Source organism: Homo sapiens, chromosome 2, assembly GCF_000001405.40.
Source record: "Homo sapiens chromosome 2, GRCh38.p14 Primary Assembly".
Taxonomy (NCBI): Eukaryota; Metazoa; Chordata; class Mammalia; order Primates; family Hominidae; genus Homo; species Homo sapiens.
In genome coordinates this window covers 186,522,356-186,543,496 of record NC_000002.12, presented here as the reverse complement: position 1 = coordinate 186,543,496, position 21,141 = coordinate 186,522,356, and the positions used below count along the sequence as shown (strand labels likewise).

Below are 21,141 nucleotides of genomic sequence, written 5' to 3'. Positions count from 1 at the left end.
CCTATAATCCCAGCTACTTGGGAGGCTGAGGCAGGAGAATCGCTTGAACCCGAGAGGCGGAGGTTGCAGTGACCCGAGATTGCGCCACTGAACTCCAGCCTGGGCAACAAGAGCAAAACTCTGTCTCAAATTAAAAGAAAAAAAAAAAAAAGAGCCGGATACGGTGGCTTATGCCTGTAATCCCAGAACTTTGGGAGGCCAAGGCGGGCAGATCACAAGGTCAGAAGATCGAGACCATCCTGGCTAACACGGTGAAACCCCGTCTCTACTAAAAATACAAAAAATTAGCCGGGTGTGGTGGCGGGCACCTGTAGTCCCAGCTGCTTGGGAGGAGGCAGGAGAATGGAATGAATCCAGAAGGCGGATGTTGCAGTGAGCCGAGATCGCGCCACTGCACTCCAGCCTGGGTGGCAGAGCGACACTCCGTCTCAAAAAAGAAAAAAAAAAAAGATTTATGCCTTTTTTCCTTTTGCCCTAGTTATGTAGCCATGAAATGATGTAACCATGAGATGATGTAGCCACATGATGAAATAGCCCCCAACTCTTTTCTCCTGCGGCTACTTCTTTAAGTCACTGTTCAGACATTCACAGTGAAGAAGTTAGGGAGAAGAAGAAAATTTTCAAATTGTGAGTGTGAGAGAAATATTGATTTATTATTTAATAAATATTTACAGATTGGTTAGCATGTCTGAGACTAACCACAGGTGGACAGACTAACCAAATAATCATAAACACAATCTCAGACAAAGTTAAGTACTATGAAGTGTCCTTATAACAAAGGACTTAGGAGTCAAAGAAAACCTTCTCTCAGGAAGGACCAACATCTGTGCTAAGATCTGAAGGAGGAGCAGGGGTTAAAAAATGAAAGAGTAGGCCAGGCGCCGTGGCTTACACCTGTAATCCCAGCACTTTGGGAGGCCAAGGCGGGTGGATCACTTGAGGTTAGGAGTTCAAGACTAGCCTGCCCAACATGGTGAAACCCCGTCTCTACTAAAAATACAAAAATTAGATGGGTGTGGTGGTGCATGCCTGTAATCCCAGCTACTTGGGAGGTTGAGGTAGGAGAATTGCTTGAGCCCGGGAGGCAGAGGTTGCAGTGAGTCGAGATCTCGCCACTTAACTCCAGCCTGGGTGAGAGCAAAACTCTGTCTCAAAAAAAAGAAAAAAAAAAGGGTGAAAGAGTGGGTGAGTTGGCAATGGCAAGAGCATTCCAGGCAGAACAACAAGCATTCATAGGGCTCCTGATACAGGAGACAGCATAGTGTGTTCAGGTAACTTGGAGAAAGGGTGATGCAACCCCAAGGTAGTTAGGAGGATTTGGTAATGACTCGGATAACTGGAGATAGTTCCCTCTCAGATTCTTTGCTACTTTCTTCCTGTCTCTCCCTCTCTCCTAACGGAAAACAAACACTTCAGCCAGGCATTGTTTTAAGCACTTTATACATATTAACTCAACCCTAACTCAACACAAACCAACCAGTATATGTCAGAGAATATGAACTCAAGATCTTACCTGAGGCATCTCTGCTTTGTCTTTTTCACCCCTCAAACACTGAGCTATCCTTAAGATAACAAGAGAGTTTCTATAGGGACAAACCCAAGGCATTTAGTTTTTGTAGGGACAAGCCCAGGATTATTTGCGAGAAGGCCAAAAAAAACCCACACAAGAAAAAAAAGAAAAAAAAAGGTAAAAAAGGATGTAGGTATGCAAATGTGTTTTAGTCATGCTGAATCCCAAGGCAAGCTACACTTAGGAAGAAAACTACAAAAATACTATAATCCATTCATGTGTTATTTATTTAATTGTGATGTATAATATTTGAGTGTATATTCTGTCAAGTATGGTCCTAAAAATCTTATAATGTGTATGTTTGGTTAATCCTGACACCCAAACCTATTATGCCAATTTTACAAAGGAGAAACCAAGAGAAAATTCCAAGGATGCACAGCTAGTGGTAGTGAAGAAAGGTGGGAGCTGATTCTGAATAGTCTGGCTGCAGAACCATGCTTTTAAGCACTAGACTTCGTTTGCTCATTTGTATGACCAAAAAATGCCTTGTTACCTCATAAAAAGATTATCTTCTCTCTTCTCTAAAAGAGGGCCTTATGATATTTTAGGAAATGAAGATCTTCTTGACAAATATGAGAGTCACTGAATTAACAAGAAAATAGAGAAACTCTGATGGAACTCTGTAAAAGCAGCACACACTGAAACTGCACTTTCTTTGACAAAAGATTGCAAATAAGAATATGGAAGTAATTTTGTGGCCAGTGAACACGGAACACTTAAGTTATGCAGCAAGCCGCCATGTAACTCTAGACTTCTGAAACTGGTAGTACGAAAACAGCTCTAAGGCTGATTTTGAGCAGGGATTATAGTCAATCCTGCAACACTAAACCAATTACAGCAGAAAAAACCGAGACTATTTTCAACAAAGTTGCAGAATTTTCTGATTTGCATTAAGTGTTTGTCATTTTCTTGGCATGTTTCTCCTTTCATCATTGAAGTATGAGAGATTATGTGTTTAAAGTCTGCCTCTTTCTCATTTGGGTTTGAATAAAATTCCACAGTGTTCTTTTGGATGAAGGGGGTTCCCTAAAGTTAAAAGGAGTTTCCTCCACTTTTATTGAGATCTAAAGAAGCAGACTTGCAGTTCATCATTCACCAAAGAAGCAAAAACCAAAAAACTATAACTAGACATATCATATTCAAACTGCAGAAAATCAAAAGTTTAAAAAGAAGTCTTGAAATAAGCCAGAGGAAAAAATTACCTTACTTATAGAGGAGCAAAGATAAGAGCTACATCTGACTGCTCAAAAACCATGCAAGCAGAGTGGAGTAAATATTTAAAGTGTTGAGAGAAAAAAAACCTCACTGACCTAGAACTGAATACTCTGCAAAATTATTCTCCAAAAGTGAAGGAGAAATACTGTCTCAGACAAACAGAGTTGAGGGAATTTGTTGCTAGAAGCTCTGCCATGCAAGAAATGTTAAAAGAAGTTATTTAGAAAAGAAGGAAAATGATATGTCAGAAGCTGAGATATAAATAAAGAAAAGAACATCAAGAAAGCCGGGTGCAGTGACTCATGCCTGTAATTCCAGCACTTTGGGAGGTCAAGGCAGGCGGATCACCTGAGGTCAGGAGTTCAAGACCAGCCTGGCCAATATGGAGAAACCCCGTCTCTACAAAAATACAAAATTTAGCTGGGCATGATGGCGGATGCCTGTAATCCCAGCTACTTGGGAGGCTGAGGTGGGAAAATCGCTTGAACCCGGGAAGCAGAGGTTGCAGTGAGCTGAGTTCACATCATTGCACTCTAGCCTGGGTGACAGTGAGACTCCATCTCAAAAAAAAAAAAAAAAAGAAAAAGAAAAAGAAAAAAACATCAAGAAGGAATAAATATAGTTAAAACTTTCATTTTCCTTATTCTTAATTGAGCTAACAAATATGGTTTGTTCAAAATAACAATAGTAATAATGTATTCAATTATGTAGCAAATCAAATCCAACAATGTATTAAAGGAAATTATAGACCATAACCAAAGAGAATTTATCCTAGAAATACAAGGCTGGTTCAACATTTGGAAATCAATTAATATAATCCATTACATCAACATACTAAGGAAGAAAAGTCACGTGATTATATCAGTAGATGCTGAAAAAGCATTTGACAAAATTCAACACTCACTCATAATAAAAACTTTTAAGGCTGGGCGTGGTGGCTCACGCCTGTAATCCCAGCACTTTGGGAGGCCGAGGTGGGCAGATCACGAGGTCAGGAGTTTGAGACCAACCTGACCAACATGGTGAAACTCCGTCTCTACTAAACATACAAAAATTAGCCAGGCATGGTGGCATGTGCCTGTAATCCCAGCTACTCAGGAGGCTGAGGCAGGAGAATTGCTTGAACCCAGGAGGCAGAGGTTGCAGTGAGCTGAGATCATGCCACTGCACTCCAGCCTGGGCAAGAGAATGAGACTTCATCTCAAAACAAAACAAAACAAACAAACAAAAAAACTTTTAGCAAAAAGGCAACAGAGAGGAGCTTCCTCAAATTGATAAGACTATCTACAAAACACTTATAGTTAACATCATACTTAATAGTGAGAAACTAGAAGCTTTCCCACTAAGATCAGAAACAAGGTAAAGATGTCCCCTCTCACCATTCCTTTTCAGTACCATACTGGAAGGTTCTACCAAAACAATAAGACAGGAAGAGGAAACAAAAGGTATTATGATTAAAAGGAAGAAATAAAACTGTCTTTGTTTGCAGATGACATGAATGTCTAGGGAGAAAATCCAAAAGAATCAACAAACCTCCTCCCTACTCCTGGAACTAATAGGTAATTATAGCAATGTTGCAGGACAAAAGGTTAATATATAAAAGTCAATTAGTTTCCTACATAACAGTAATTAATAAGTGGAATTTGAAATGAAGAACACAATACCAGCTGGGCACAATGGCTCATGCCTGTAATCCCAGCAGTTTGGGAGGCCAGGGTGGGTGGATTGCCTGAGGTCAGGAGTTTGAGACCAGCCTGGCCAACATGGTGAAAGCCTGTCTCTACTAAAATACAAAAATTAGCCAGATGAGGTGGCAGGCACCTGTAAACCCAGCTACTAGGGAGGCTGAGGGCAGGAGAATTGCTTGAACGCAGGAGACAGAGGTGGCAGTAAGCTGAGATCGCACCACTGCACTCCAGCCTGTGCAACAACAACAACAACAAAATAAAAATAGAAACAAAATAAAATAAAAACACAATACCATTTACATTGGCACCCCAAAAATGAAACACGTAGGAATATATCTAACAAAATATGCACAAGATCTGTATAAGGAAAGCTATAAAACTTTGATGAAATCAAAGAACTAAATAAATAGACATTCCATGTTCACAGAAAGGAAGATTCAATATGCCAAGATGTCAATTCTTCTCAACTTAATCTATAAGTTAAATGCAATGCCAATCAAAATCCCAGCAGAAGATTTTCTGGATATTGATAAACTGACCCTAGAGTTATATGAAGAGGCAAAAGACCCAGAATGGCCAACATAATGTTAAAGGAGAAGAACAAAGAGCACTGATTATAAACGACTTCAAGATTTACTACAAACCTAGAGTAATCTAGGCAGTGTGGTACTGGTGAAAGAATAGATAAATAGATCATTGAGATGGAAGAGAAAGTCCAGAAATAGACCCACATACATATTTTTACATTGCCAACTAGTTTTTGACAAAGAAGCAAAGGCAGTAAATAGCGCAAAGATAGTCTTTTCAATAAATGGTGCAATAAATGGTTCAATAAATTTATTTTATTTAATACATAAATAAAATATCTGGAGAGCCACATGCAAATATATACATATATATGTGTATATATATATATATATACACACACTGACCTTTAACCCTTCACAAAAGTTAGATCAAAGTAGATCATATGCCAAACATAAAATGTGAAACTATAAAAGTCTTAGATGATAATGTAAGAGAAAACCTAGATTACCTTGGGTATGGTAATAACTTTTTAGATGCAACACTAAAGGTACAATCCATGAAAAGAGAATGGTAAGCTGGACGGCACAAAAATCTTCTGCTTTATGAAATACACTGTCAAGAGAATGAGAAGAGAAGCCACAAGAATGTGGAGCAACAGGAACTCCCATTCGCTGCTGGTGAGAATGAAAAATGGTACATCCACTTTGAAGACAGCTTGGCAATTTCTTATAAAACTAAACATATCATATGATCCAGCAATTGTGTTCCTTTGTATTTACCCAAATGAGTTAAAAACTTATGTGGGAGGCTGAGGCAGGAGAATGGCGTGAACCTGGGAGGCGGAGCTTGCAGTGAGCCGAGATGTCGCCACTGCCTTCCAGCCTGGGTGACAGAGTGAGACTCCGTCTCAAAAAAAAAAAAAAAAAAAAACAAAAACAGAAACTTATGTGCACACAGAAACTTGCACATGGATGTTTATAGTAGCGTCATTCTTAATTCCCAAAACTTGGAATTTTGACATTGGAACCACAATGTCCCTCAGTAGGTGAATGGATGAATAACCTGTGGTGCATCCAGACAATGGAATATTATTCAATGCCAAAAAGAAATGAGCTATCAAGTTATAAAATGACATGAAGGAAACTTAAATGTGTATTACTAAGTGAAAGAAGTCAATCTAAAAAGGTTACGTACTTTATGATTCCAAGTATATGACATTCTGGGAAAGGCAAAACTATGAAAACAATAAAAGGATCAGTGGTTGCCAGGAGTTAGGTGAGAAAGACGGATAAATAGGAGAAGCGCAGAGGATTTTTAGGGAAGTAAAACTACTCTGTGTGATACAATAATGATGGATACATGTCATTATACACTTGGCTGGGCATGGTGGCTTATGCCTGTACTTTGAGAGGTCAAGGTGGGAGGATCCCTTGAGGCCAGGAGTTCAAGACCAGCTTCAGCAACATGGTGACACGACCCCATCTCTACAAAAAATGGAAAAAAAAAGTTATCTGGGCATGGTGGCATGTGCCTGTAGTCCCAGTTACTCGGGAGGCTGAGGTGGATCTCTTGAGCTCAAGAGTTCAAAGCGGCAGTGAGCCACGATTGTGCCACTGCACTGCAGGGTGGGTGAAAGAAAAATACCGTTTCAAAAACAGACAACCCCCCCAAAACCCCATGTAATTATACATTTGTTCAAACCCATAGAATATACACCAAGTGTGGACCCTAATGTAACCTATGGACTTTGGGGTGATAATATGTCGATATAGCTTCATGGATTGTAACATATGTACCACTCTGGTGCAGGGTTTTGATAGTGGAGAAGGCTGCACATATGTGGGCTTAGCAGGGAGGTATATGAGAAATCTCTGTAGCTTCCACTTAATTTTGCTGTAAATCTAGAACTGATCTGAAAAATAAGGTCTGTTAAAAATAAAACAAAACCAGAAACAAACAAAACAAAACAAAGAGCCTTCCTGGACCTCACATCCCTTCCAGTCACCATCTCATTTTTCTGCTCCATCTTACAGAAAAATTCAAGAGTTGCCTATGCTAACTAGTTGTCTTTATTTCCTCTCTTCCCATTCCCTCTTGAGTCTGTTCCCACCAGGCTTTTGCCCTCACGATTCCACTGAAATGTGGGCAATTCTCAGTCCTCATTTTACTTGAAATGTCAGTAGCTTTGACACCATGATGCTTCATCTTTCCTGATCCACTTAACTTCACTTGATTCCTGGGACACTCATTTACCTCCTCCATTATGGGCCACTCTTTCTCAATTTCCTTTGTTGGTGTCCCGTGATGTCCCTAAATGCTAAGTATCAGAGTGCTTCTACCTCAGTCCTTGGTCTTCTTTTCTCCATCTACACTTACTTTCTTGGTGATCTCATTCAGTCTCGTGGTTTTAAATCCTATTAAGAACTGAGGACACATAAATTCCAAATACCTCATTTACTGGGTTGTAGTGAAGATTAAATGAATTAATGTTGATTAGGCACTTAAAACTGCCTGGAACAGAGTAAGTACTTTATATAATCAGCTATAAACTTGTAAGCTGTCTAATAGGCACCGCAAGTGTCACAAGTACAAAATCAAGCTTCCAATTGTTCTCCCTTAAACTCCCCCTCCTGCAGACTTTTCTCACATACCTTATTATTGCTTCCCATCATATTCCACATCTAGTCTATGAGAAAATCCTAGTGGTTCTACTTTCAAAATATACACGGAATTCAAATTCTTCCCAATAACTTCATTACTACATCCTTATCCAAGGTATAACTATTTTCCACCTGTTTTATTGCAAATGTACTAACAAGTCTCCCTGCTTTCTCTTGTTTTTCTGTGGTCCAGTTTAACATGGTACCCAGAGTAATTCTTATAAAATGTGAAATCATGTGACTCCTTTTCCAAAATCCTCAAATCTTACTCAGGGCCATAGCCAATATCCATGCAATGCCCTATAGGGCCCTATGTTAACTGGCCTTTTGATCTTTCTCTGATCTCATGTCCTGCCACTCTGTGTGATCACTCTGCTTCTGTCACACTAGCCTTCTTGCTAGTGTATTTGCCACTAGTGTGTTATATTAGGTTGGTGCAAAAGTAATTGCTCTTCTTGCCATCACTTTTAATGGCAAAAATATTATATTAGTGTGTAATATATCATATCAAGTATACTCCTTCCTCCATTACCTTTGCATTTGATTGTTCTTCCCACAAGATAATCTGCCCAAATATCTGCTCATCCTCTCTTGCTTTCTCCAGTGTCTCTCTCGAAGAATTTTCCTCTCTCTCCTGCATCATAAGGGCCACGAGGGGACAACCCAGCCTGTGCACTAAGCAAAAACTACAAAATCAGGTTCTTAATGAGATCTTCTGAGCATAGATCAAGACTTGCCTATTGATAGATTCAGTTACAGGAGGCAATCATGCCCTTTAGAGTTTATTATAATATTCAGCAAGTTCTTCAAACTTGGGAGGTCATATACATGAAAAATATCATTATTAGTAGTATATTTTAATCATAATTTATTGTTATTTTAATGTGGTAGAATTGTATAATGATTCATATTAGAAAGAAACATGTAATTTGTGTAAATAGAGGATAGAGAAATTCATGGCTTAATCTTTTCTTCTGGAAACATGATTATATTGTACAACATCAAAAGAAGTGAAAGAAGAGAAGGGAAGGAGATAAAGAAAAGGGTGCAGAAAGTTATGAACAATCAGGCTTTGTGCTAAGTGCTTCAAATACATTTTCTTCTTCAAAACTCAGCATCCCCAGGGCGAGTCTTTTTCTCCTCATTTTACAGATGAGGATGGTCAGAAGGTTACGGTCATCCAGCTATTAAGGGGGAAGAGTCAGGATTTGTGACTAGGGTTGTGTTACTCCAAAACCCATCCTCTTGCCATTTTACCATCCTGGGTTTGGTCTTTAAATTTTCCTACAATAAATAAGTATTGTTTATTGAGTCAGTGAGTGAAAGAAACCAAGACGAAAAAAGAGTTCTTTTCAGTCTGCAAATGTCAAGGGTGATAATATGTAGCTGTGTTCTTACCATCCAGCTTAAAATCTTGCAACTTAGGCTTTCATAAAAATATGAGGAAGGGAAGAAATTTTTCATCAGCACTTAGAATGTATTAAAGAACTATGAAATGTTACTGCACACAGTTACAATATCCCACCTCTTTCCTGGAATCCATTCTATGATGGAGAAGTATATGAATCAACTATAAATAGAATGCATTAACTCATCTGTTCTTGCCAGAAGCAGTGAAATTTAGTATCTAGGGTAAGGGGAGGTTTAAGGGTCTCCCTGAACTTACTTTTCAGTGGGCAAAGAATTTTGAAATAGTGTATGTCTAAGAAACTATGATTATTCACTGTATTATGATTCAGATTTTGGCTTAAACTGTATCATATTAGAAATATTTCAAGAAAAACAATGTGATATTGTCTCTGGAGAGATTAACCTTAAGCTACAGGAAAAAAAATCTAGTTAATTCATTCAAGTCAACATTGTTTACTAAGTGCCTATTTGTACTTTGAACTCAGCTGGATACTATGTACAAAGAGAGCATGGTGTACTCAAACTATTTCATAGTCCTAGAAATCCTTCAGGGACCCCTCTCCTTTTGTGAGCTCCCAGGCAATTCAAAAGCTACTTGGGATGAGTTATATCCTGGGCACAAAGAAGTAACTTAAGTTGGCCAGCTCCACTCCTTCACAGAGCAAATAGAATTGAAATAAGGGCAGGGTGTTCTTTTTCAGTTCTTTGCCTAACCAACCTAAATATAATCCTTTAAATATCTTCTAAAATAGTTTGTCTTACACATTAATTATTTTTTGAATCTATATCAAAATACATATTTCCAGTACTTAGAGATACTTAGAAATGGATACAATAATTTCCCAATAATTCTTCTGGATACATGTGTGTTTAAAAAGTCAACATTCTGTTTTTTTATTGGGACAGGTGATCTGTAAGGTTTATTGTTGACATTCTAGTTACTTTAAGTTTGATAGCCATGTTTTCCTTTTAGATTCAATGTTTAAGTCATTTGTTGCTGAAACTGTCCTCACCTCCATTCAATTTTTGTGCTGTGTCAAGAACATGTTGTAATCTATATATATCTTTTGCCTTTTGTTTCTGTTCTCTCAAGAATTTGCAATAATAATTACTCTCCATTTGGGGCCATTAGTGTGTTACTGTGCTACCCTTTCATATAATAAGGAAGTTGTTCATGGTGTTGTATCATACAGTTAGGAGTTTCCAAGAAAAGGTTTATTCAATTCCAAATCAACCACACCTTTCAATACACACATACAGCAGTGTCTGTACGTAGATGGGAAAAAGACTTGGAAAACAAGACTACAGTACTCTTGCAGGAGAAGGAAGATGACACACTGGCTATGAATTCTTACTTCTGAGGCCAAAAGGGCCCTTCTGCCTGCACTTTTATACTCTCCAATCCACTTTGGGCTTTTGAGGGTCCAGGTTCAAGAAACCCTTATCAGTTCTGGCAGCCTTGCCTTGCTTGTATGGTTTCTGGAGTTTGGGTGGGGCATCTATGCTTGTTGTGAATGTGAGGCAATTTTCAGGGACTCTAATAAGCAAGGAATTATGACTACTACATAATTTTATTCTTTAACAGTTATGGGGCATACTACTTTTGTCAGTTTGTGGTCTGTGCATAAGTTGGGCAGCATCCATGGAAGAGTATAAAGAGCAAGAAAAAATGTTTCTCTCTCCTTACATACAATATGTTGCGATACATTTTCAAACATGTAACCCCAAAACATATTTATGGGAACATCTTCCACTCGAGTGGGAAATATTAAGCTCCAATATTATTTTGCTATTCTTCAGAAAGAAAAGCCTAAGGTAATGGTTGAAAGACCTAGACAGTTGATAGAAATTAATTTGGAATTGAGGTAAACACTGGAAATATGTTTTTTCATTTTCATGTTGAATATATGAAATGATTAAATAGTAAATTTTCTAGGCCAGGTGTGGTGGCTCACACCTGTAATCCCAGCACTTTGGGAGGCCGAGGTGGCAGATCACTTGAACCCAGGAGATCAAGACCAACCTGGACAACATGGTGAAATGCTGTTTCTACAAAAAAATACAAAAATTAGCCAGGTGTGGTGGCACAAGCCTGTAAGTCCCAGCTACTTAGGAGGCTAAGGTGGGAGGATCACCTGAGCCCAGGAGGTTGAGGGTTGAGGCTGCAGTGAACTGTAATCATGCCACTCCGGCCTTGGTGACAGCAAGACAGCCTCTCTCTCTCTCTCTGTCTCTCTCTCTCTCTCTCTCTCTCACACACACACACACACACACACACACACACACACACACACACACACACACCATTTTCTACGTTAATACTGGACATGTATAGCTTACTCTGTTGTTTTAAATTTTTCATTTATCATGTAAATTAGACAGTATTGTTTAATTCTTTCCTCTGGGTTATCTAAGTCAATAAATATAAGATAATTTGGTCAATGTAGTTAAATCTAACTTTTGTTCTATGTTTGGCTAATGCCTATCAAATTATAAGCATATTAGACCAAGACATTATTAATAACTATTATATTTGAAAGTTATTGATGAGCAATTCATTCAGATTCAGAGGAAGCTAGGGAAGGTGGGATATATAAGCAAGGAGAACATCATTTTGGGGTTAAAAATCTGGGCCTTTTTGATGGCATAATAGTCAATAAAATTAACTCAGTTATTGCTTGGGTTTGATGAAATTGATTGCTAAAGATCACCATTTCTGGCAACATTGAGGACTCAGTAATGGCAGGGGCTTCTTAGCCACTATCATATTTTAAGAAGCAGGAGCTGACTAGCTTTGTTGTGTGAGCTATTTCTTGAAATAGCTCAGGAATGAGCTCTACTATAGTCTTCATTCCCCTGCACAATCCACCTCAGAACCTCTTATCTTACTCTCTAGCTTTATCTAAAGGAAAACTGTATGACATTTATTTATCTTTAAAAGCCTTAGCAGCATCTAATAATTTGATCATTTTGGAAGAATGCCAAGCCAAAAACATTCCTTTAATTTTAGCAATAATTATTTGACTGTGAAAGCTTGGAGTTTTGAAACTCTTAATTATTGTTTCCTTAGGTCTAGAATGTTTACAACTACTAAATCAGAAATCTCTTACCACTCCTTCTTAGCTTCATGTTCCAACTATACTGAACTAGTTTCAGGGCCTTTACATAGCTGAGCTCACACTCCTGTACCTCTGCTAATGCTGCTCAAACACCAACCTTCACTTACTCATTTGGGCAATTTTAACTTGCACTTCAAGTTTTAGTTAGTGTTATTCCATCTTGCTCCTGCTTTGCTTAGATGCTCCTCTCACATGCTCTCATAGCACACATGCATATCTCTATCGCACAGTATTAAAACCATTTGGTTTTCTGTCTTCCTCATTAGGCCAGGGCTTCCTGGAGACAGGATTTTTTTCCCCCCGTTATCCCCAGTACCCAGCACAGTGCTTGGCATATAATAGCTGCACAAGAGTTTGTTGAATAAATGAAAGAAATAAGTTGAGATCTTAACAAAGGAACAAAACTGTAGAGATTTGACTACTTTTTCCTTCCATGTTTGAAAACAACAACAACAACAACAAAAACAAACTAGAGTCATTGCTAAGTAGACACAGCACTCAAATGGCCAGTTTCCATACTGATCTCTGCTCCTAAAATTATTTCAAGTAAATTACTCTCTGTAGCAACAAGTTCTCCATGTGAAGCAAGCACGCTAGCTTCACACCATTAACGTTATGTATAATGGCAGTACATTATTGATGGGGCACTTTGATCATTCTAATTAAAAAGTTCTAGTTATTAGAACTGCTGTAAGGATGTCACACTGAGAAAGAAGGAATGAGTACATATAGGAATGTAACAAATTCATTTAATGGCTAAGCGGCCTGCTTTAGAAGTTCACTGGTGTCATTGCACAATCCTTTTTGTCACAGAGTTTGGTATTCATTTTGAATGGATCTGTTATGCCTTGGTCCAATTAATTCATCTTGCAGATCCATTGCCCAAAAATGAGTTGCTGAATAGACTCAAATATTCTTCTAACTAAATCACCGTAATGTTGATTTTTATATTGGTAATTATACTAGCCTCACTGTATTCAAGCTTAGGTTAGGGATAAAGAGCTACTCATAAATAATGCCCTTAGCAAAGCTCTTAAGACAAATCAGGATTGGAATTCTGCTTCTGATGCTTACTGGCTCTGCACCTTGGGTAATCTTCTTAACTTTTCTGGGCCTCATTTACCTTTTATGTAAAATGGGCATAACAGTACTCAGATCATAGGGTTATTGTGAGGAATACATGAGATTATCACGTAAAGAATTTAGCATGATGCCTGGGACACAGTAAGTGCTCAATAGACATAAATTGCTCTCCTCCTCTCTTCTTCCTCCTCCTCCACGTCATCACTACTACTGCTCCTTATATGACTGTTATTTTTCCTCAATTCCATTGGGTTTGAGCTCCAAGTAAAGGAAAATCAAATCTAAACTTAATAATTAACAAAATCCAAATTTAAAAAAGCCCTCAAAGTACTTTAAATATCCAGTAATTAATTATAATATCTCATTTGTATAATTATATTTACAATAAAATGCAAATTTAAATATATATTCCTTATATTCATGCTATATAAATATTTTAGAAATTTAGGCATAGTCCCATGAATGTTTCTGCCATTCAACTTATTAAAATGATGTCAATACAGTTTTTAAGATAGGAAAGTAATGCTATAATGTAGAACAAAAAAATTCCCAATCACAATGGAGAAAAAATATTAACTGAGTGTTTATGAGTTGTGGGATTTGGTGACTTTTCTTTTTTATACTCTATATTTTTCAAATTTTATATAACAAAACATTTTAAGCTTTTAATACATTTTTAGGCAGTAAACATATTCATCTTTTCGCATATATATGCAAATATTACACAAATATAATTTTGTATTTTAGAATACATACTCCTTATAAAAATGGTATGAACCAAATAGGCATGTGTAAAACAGAAAGTTAATTCAACAATTCAACATATGAAAATCAATCAGTGTAATACACCACACGTTAACAGAATGAAGGATAAAAACCACATGATCATCTTGATTGATGCAGAAGCCTTAAAATTTTTTTTTTTGAGATAGGGTATCACTTTGTCACTCAGGCTGGGGTGCAGTGACGCTGTCAGCTCGCTGTAACCTCAAACTCCTGGGCTCAAGCAAAGAGAAAAATTTTGATCAAATTCAATACCCTTTAATGATAAAAATAGTCAACAAAATAGGAATAGGTGAAACACAGTACTGAAAATTATAGCCACAGCAGTTAGACAAGAAAAAGAAATAAAAGGCATCCATATTGGAAAGGAAGAAGTAAAATTATTTCTATTCACAGATGACATGCTCTTGTATTTAGAAAACCATAAAGACACCACCAGAAAGACCTGTTAATAATTTCAGCAAATTTGCAGGATATAAAATCAACATATAAAAGCCAGCTACATTTCTTTCTTTCTTTCTTCCTTTTTTTTTTTTATTTTTTGAGACAAAGTTTCGCTCTTTTTGCCCAGGCTGGAGTGCAATGGCATGATCTCGGCTCATCGCAACCTCTGCCTCCCAGGTTCAAGTGATTCTCCTGCCTCAGCCTCCCGAGTAGCTGGGATTACAGGCATGCGCCACCACGCCCAGCTAATTTTGTGTTTTTAGTAGAGATGGGGTTTCTCCATGTTGGTCAGGTTGGTCTCGAACTCCCCATCTCAGGTGATTCGCCCGCCTCGGCCTCCCAAAGTGCTGGGATTACAGGCATGAGCCACCATGCCCGGCCTGCCAGCTGCAATTCTATACTCTAATAATAACCAGTCCAAAGAGGAAATTTAAAAACAAATCCCATTTGCTGTATCATCAAAAAGTATAGAATACTAAGGAATAAACTTAACCAAGGAGGTGAAAGACTTGAACACTCAAAGTTATAAAATATAGCTAAAAGAAAGCAAAAAGATACAAATAAATGGAGAGACATCCATGCACGTGGATTGAAAAACTTTAATTTTGTTAAAATGTCCATACTATCCAAAGCCATTTACAGATTCAATGCAGTATTTATCATAATCCCAGTGGCAAGTTGGGTGTTGTAGCATTTGCCTTAGTCCTAAATTCTTGGAAGGCTGAAGTGGGAGGATCACTCAAGCCCGAGTTCGAGGCCAGCCTGGGGAACAGAGTGAAATCCTGCCACTAAAAACCAAAAAAATCCCAAAGGAATATTTTTGAAGAAACAGAAAAAAAAAATCTTAAAATTCATATGGAATCTCAAGGGACCCCAAATAGCCAAAATAATCTTGAAAAAGAACAAATTTGGAGGATCCCACTTCCAGATTTTAAAACCTACTTCAAAGCAACAGTAATCAAGATGATGTGGTACTGGCATAAACAGATATATAGACCAATGGAACATAATAGCCCAGAAATAAACCCTTGTGTATATGGCCAAATGATTTTTGACAACGGTGCCAAGACTACATAATGGGGAAAGGACAGTCTCTTCAACAAATGGTGTTGGGAGGACTGGATAACCATATGCAAAGAATGAAGTTGGACCCTTACCTTACACTATATGCAAAAATTAATTCAAAAGCGATTAAAGACCTACATAAGACCTAAAACTATACAACTCCTAGAAGAAAACATAGGTGAGAAGCTTCAGGACACTGGATTTGGCAAAGATTTCTTGGATATGACATCCAAAGCATACATAAAAAAACCAAAAACAGACAAATGTGTCTATATCAAATGTAAAAAAATTGTGCATCAAAGGAAATAACTGAGAGCAAAAAGGCAAGCTATGGAATGGGAGAAAATATTGCAAATCATATATTGGATAATGGGCTGATATACAGAAAATAAAAGGAATGTTTACAACTCAACAACAAAAACCAAATAACTCAATTAAAACATGGGCAAAAGACTTGAATAGGCAATTCTCTAAAGATATATAAATGACCAACAAGCATATGAAAATATGCTTGACATCACTAATTGAGAGAAATGCAAATCAAAACCACACTGAGATATAACCTCACACCCCTTAGGATGGTCACTATCAACAGAAAATAACAAGTGTTGGGGAGGATGTGGAGAAATTGGAGCCCTTGTGCACTGTTGTAGGGAGCGTAAAGTGGTACAGCCATTATAAAAAACAATAAAAAATTAAAAATAGAATCCTCAAAAAATGAAAAATAGAATGTGATCCAGCAAATCCACTTGTGGGTATATATCAAAAAGAATTCAAAGCAGGCTCTGGAAGAGAAATTTGCACACCCATGTTCACTGCAGCATTATTCACAATAGCCAAGAGGTGGAAGCAATCCAAATGTTGGAGAGATGAGTGGATAGAGAAAACATGGTATATACAAGCAATGAAATACTATGCAGCCTTAAAAAAGAAGGAAATACTGTCACATAGAACAACGTGGATGAATCTCAAGGACATTATACTGGCAAAACAAGCCAGTCACAAAAGGACAAATACTGTATTACTCCACTTATGTGAAATATCTAATGTAGTCAAAATCATAGAAATGAAAAGTAGAAACGTAGTTGCTAAGGGATTGCGGGGAGGAGAAAAATTAGGGTTTTATGAGTTTGGAGTTTCAATTTTGTAAGACGAAAAAGTTTTAGAGATCTGTTGCACAACAACGTGAATATACTTAACACTACTGAACAGTACATTTAGAAATGGTTAAGGTGGTAAATTTGTTAGATGTCTTTTACAATAGAAAAACCTGAAAACAACAACAAAAACATGACAATCAAATTCTCTATAGTTAGACCTCTTCTGCCCTATAAACACCAAAGACGACTACTGTTAACAGGCCTGTAACTTCTAGATCTTCAGAAAAAAAGAACATACCAGACACACATACACACTATACACTCACCTGGCTTGAATGCAGTGGCACATTCTTGGCTCAGTGTAGCTTGAACCTCCCAGGCTAAACGATCCTCCAACCTCAGCTTCCTGAGTAGCTGGGACCAAAATAAGCTGGCTTATTTTGTTTATTTTTTGTAGGGATGAACTCACTATGTTGCCCAGGCAGGTCTTGACCTCCTAAGCTCTAGTGAACCTCCTGCTTCAGCCTCCAAAGTGCTGGGATATTACTCTGTTGCCAAGGCTGGAGTGCAGAGATGCAATCAACACACTGTAACCTTAAATTCCTGGACTCAAGTGACTCTCCTGCCTCAGCCTCCCAAGTAGCTGGGACCACAGGCATGAAACACCACATCTGGCTTTTTTTTTTTTTTTTTTTTTTTTTTGTAGAGACAAGGTCTCACTACGTTACCCAGGCTGGTCTCAAACTTCTGGCCTCAAGTGATCCTCTTGCCGTGGCCTCCCGAAGTGCTGGGATTATGGGTGTGAGCTACCACACACAGCCATACTTGTCTTAAAAAAAAAAAAAAGGCCAGACACAGTGGCTCACACCTGTAATCCTAGCACTTTGGGAGGCTGAGGCGGGCGGATTGCCTGAGTTCAGGAGTTTGAGAACAGCCTGGGCAACACGGTGAAACCCTCTCTACCAAAATACAAAAAAATTAGCTGAGTGTGGTGACGTGCACCTGTAGTCCCAGTTACTCAGGAGGCTGAGGCAGGAGAATTGCTTGAACCCGGAGGCGGAGGTTGCAGTGAGCCGAGATCGTGCCACTGCACTCCACCCTGGGCGACAGAGCGAGACTTCGTCTCCAAAAAAAAAAAAAAAAAAAAGAAACGCTCAACAGAACATCATGGTCATCTTTCCATGTCAGTACATGGAAAAATCTTTTCTCATTCTTGTAAACGGCTGTGTAGTATTTTACTGTATGGATGTACTATATTTGGCAAAGGCAGTACTGTAAGTCTCAGAGTCTTAATATTTCCAAAGGAATGGTCCCTTTGATGAAAAAATTTTAACAAATATTAAAAATATTAATTAAAAAATTAAGTTAACGAATATTCTTTGCTTAAATGTACAGCACTAAGGGAGAGGGCACCATCAAAGAATGACAGAATGCCTGCCCTTGAGGAAACAACATTCTTATTACAAGAGCCAAGATACACACATAAACAAGGTAGAAACAGATTCTTAATTGCCATGTGAATTTTGAATCCCGTTTTGGGGAATCAAAGTCTTCATGGGAATACATCTTCAAAACATTCAAGGATAGGAAGGATTTAGGAATGTGAACACTGTCAAAAGGGATGTGAGAGAGAATATTTCATAAAGTAGGAACACATAGACATAGAAAACTACAGTGTATGGGCTTGGCGTGGTGGTTCATGCCTGTAATCTCAGCACTTTGGGAGGCCGAGGAGGGCGGATGACTTGAGGCCAGGAGTTTGAGACCAGCCTGACCAACACAGCGAAAACCATATCTCTACTAAAAATACAAATATTAGCTGGCTGTGGTGGCAAGTGCCTGTAATCCCAGCTACTTGGGAGGCTGAGGCACAAGAATTGCTTGAATCCGGGAGTTGGGGGTTGCACTGAGCTGTGATTGTGCCACTGCACTCCAGCATGGGTGACGGAATGAGTCTGTCTCAGAAAACAAAACAAAGCAAAACAAACAACCCTACAGTGTATGTGATAATAGCTACTAATACCTCAGTGCCTATGTACTAAGTACTTGCTGCTAAGTACTTATATACCAGCCTACTTTCTTTACATATAATACCCCATTACAGCTTCACAACTGAGGAAGAGACATTTTAATCCCTACCTTACTAATGAGGTAACTCAGGATCAAAAAAGTTAAGCATTACATTGTGAGTTACTTGACTAAAGAAATAAGAAAGTAGGAGAGGGAAGCTGGGGCCACCAGAGGAGAGTTTGAAGATTAGGCCTAAATATTTAGATTGTATTTGGTAGGCAATTTAGAGCCATTAAAGAATTATGAAGTGGGAGACCTCATGATTAAAACTATGCTTAAGAAGATAAATCCAGCAATGCTTTGGATGGATCGGTTACAGGAAGGGAAGGAAAGGAAACAGGTTAAATTAATTACAAGTACAGTGAACATATGCCCAAGTTTGCAGAGGACAGTTCCAATGTATACCAGTTGTCTAATGTAAGTACTAAAAGAGTTTTCTTCACTCTCCATAGTGTCCCTTCCACACTCAAAAAATGTTTCAGTTTGGAAGATAAATTACATGTGACTAATTATGAAAGGAGATGAGAGCCTGAGTAATACAGGATAGTGGCCATGTGAATAGAAAAGAGGATGAATGTAGGAGAAATCTTGGTTTGGCAAAATAACCAATAGATATTTTTTAGTCCACTTGGCTGGATAATAAAATCTTAATAACAGGGGGAAAAAAAGAAAGAAAAAGGAGGAAAAGATTTAGGAAAGAAAACAACAACTTTAGTATGGAATGTGAAGAACTGGCAGGATATTCACGTTGAGCTGTGCAGTAAGTAGCTTACTGGACATGTGAGGCTGAAGATACAGTTGTTCATATGGAAGCAATTATTTAAATCATGAAAGTGAATGAGATTGCCAAGGGATAGAGAATAATCAAAGATGGGAAAGGAACACTTCTTTAGAAAAACCCTCAAAGTGTAAATACCAAATGAGGTTAAAGACAGTTCTATAATTACTTAATCATCTTGAGCCCAGTGAAAATTACCAACGGCCCACATGGAATGCTGTGTTTGAAAGGAGCTGGCCGGGATACCAAAGGGCAACTTCACAGTGTGCTTCCTGCTTATCATTTCATGACATTTTCATCACCATTTTTCTTGTGAATGTGAACTCCTGAGGGTCATGTTATAAATGTATTCTTAGTTCAAGACTAGATGGATTGATACAAGAAGGTAAATACAGCAGTAATTGATGTGGGCCACTCAAGTGTCTACATTTTCTGTCACTTTCCTGTACATTAGCACATCTGTAATAATATTATCGTTTCCCACATAACTTACCTTAGACTGTCAAGCTGAGGGTTCTCCCTCATCAGTGATGACATGAAGACTGAAAAACAGAATTTATCTCGGTATTATCAATGTACTCACAACAACACGGTACATTGCCAAGTCACTTAGTGTTCACACGAGAAAGCCCATGACTTACTGTTTCATTTATATAGAGATGTAACTCTCACCCAGGAAAGGCAAAGTACACCTTAAAATTACTATATGGAATTGATCTATAAAAGTATTTTGAATTTAATGGCTGCTGTGAATGAGAAAAAAGTGCATTTAAAAAATTCAGGCCAGGCTCGGTGGCTCATGCCAGCACTTTGGGAAGCTGAGGCAGGCAGAGCACTTGAGGCCAGGAGTTCGAAACTAGCCTGGCCAACGTGGCGAAACCCCATCTTTACTAAAAATGCAAAAATTAGTCAAGTGGGGCCGCATGCCTGTAGTCCCAGCTACTTGGAAGGCTGAGGAACGAGAATCGCTTGAACCCAGGAGGCAGAGGTTGCAGTGAGCCGAAGACTCCGCCACTGCACTCCAGCCTGGGTGACAGAGCAAGACTCCATCTAAAGAAAAAAAAATTAAAATTGTATAAGGCAAATTCATATACTTTTGCTCAGAAAACAAAGCCATATGGAAGCACATCCAAAACAAAACTTCACTTAACTGTCCGGGAAGTTGAAATTAAGCAGTAGGAGTACTGGCATGCCTTCTGTGCTTGTCTCTCTTTTTAAAATAACTTTGATGCTTCAGTAAGTACCAGTAACATCCATAATTTACTACAGTCCAACAGAAAACACTGACTTTGCAATTATTTACCTATTTTTTTCCCCTCATTTAACAAAATTCTTTTTTTTCAGTGGAAAAACAGTTTTAAAGTAGACTACATATTTCCCCATGTATCTGAATACAAATGGTTCAGCCCACTGGGGTTACATTAATAAAGCAGTATAATGAATCTTTTCAAGCAACTCCAATACGTTCCAAACCTTAAAACTACTGTCAAAAAGACATAGTGCAGTAACTCAACTATAACTCTCTGAGAAGCAGACAATGTGTTTTTAATACCTGCTTGGAAGAGAAATATGTATGTATACTACAGTTAAGAAATCAGATTCTTTTTTTTAATAGAGAAAGAAAAGTG

General features: G+C 38.1%; 1 long non-coding RNA gene across 2 annotated transcripts, besides 2 other annotated features; it reads right to left on the bottom strand.

Moving 5' to 3' along the window:
- Positions 482–989: an enhancer, noted in NCBI's record as "H3K27ac hESC enhancer chr2:187407235-187407742 (GRCh37/hg19 assembly coordinates)". NCBI's record gives its function as "activates a minimal SCP1, AML or CMV promoter by ChIP-STARR-seq in primed H9 embryonic stem cells {active_cell/tissue: H9 hESC(primed)}" and the evidence as "EXISTENCE:reporter gene assay evidence [ECO:0000049][PMID:30033119]".
- Positions 990–1,499: an enhancer, noted in NCBI's record as "H3K27ac hESC enhancer chr2:187406725-187407234 (GRCh37/hg19 assembly coordinates)". NCBI's record gives its function as "activates a minimal SCP1, AML or CMV promoter by ChIP-STARR-seq in primed H9 embryonic stem cells {active_cell/tissue: H9 hESC(primed)}" and the evidence as "EXISTENCE:reporter gene assay evidence [ECO:0000049][PMID:30033119]".
- On the bottom strand, positions 7,170–20,351 carry LOC107985784 (uncharacterized). Of its 2 annotated transcripts, none has more exons than XR_007087454.1 (2): positions 20,007–20,351; positions 7,170–8,336 (listed from the first exon to the last, which is right to left on the bottom strand). It is a non-coding gene; the product is annotated as an uncharacterized LOC107985784 (long non-coding RNA). The 2 variants fall into 2 exon arrangements; XR_001739148.2 differs by lacking the exon at positions 7,170–8,336 and adding an exon at positions 8,513–8,945.
- Positions 20,352–21,141: the final 790 nt, after the last annotated feature.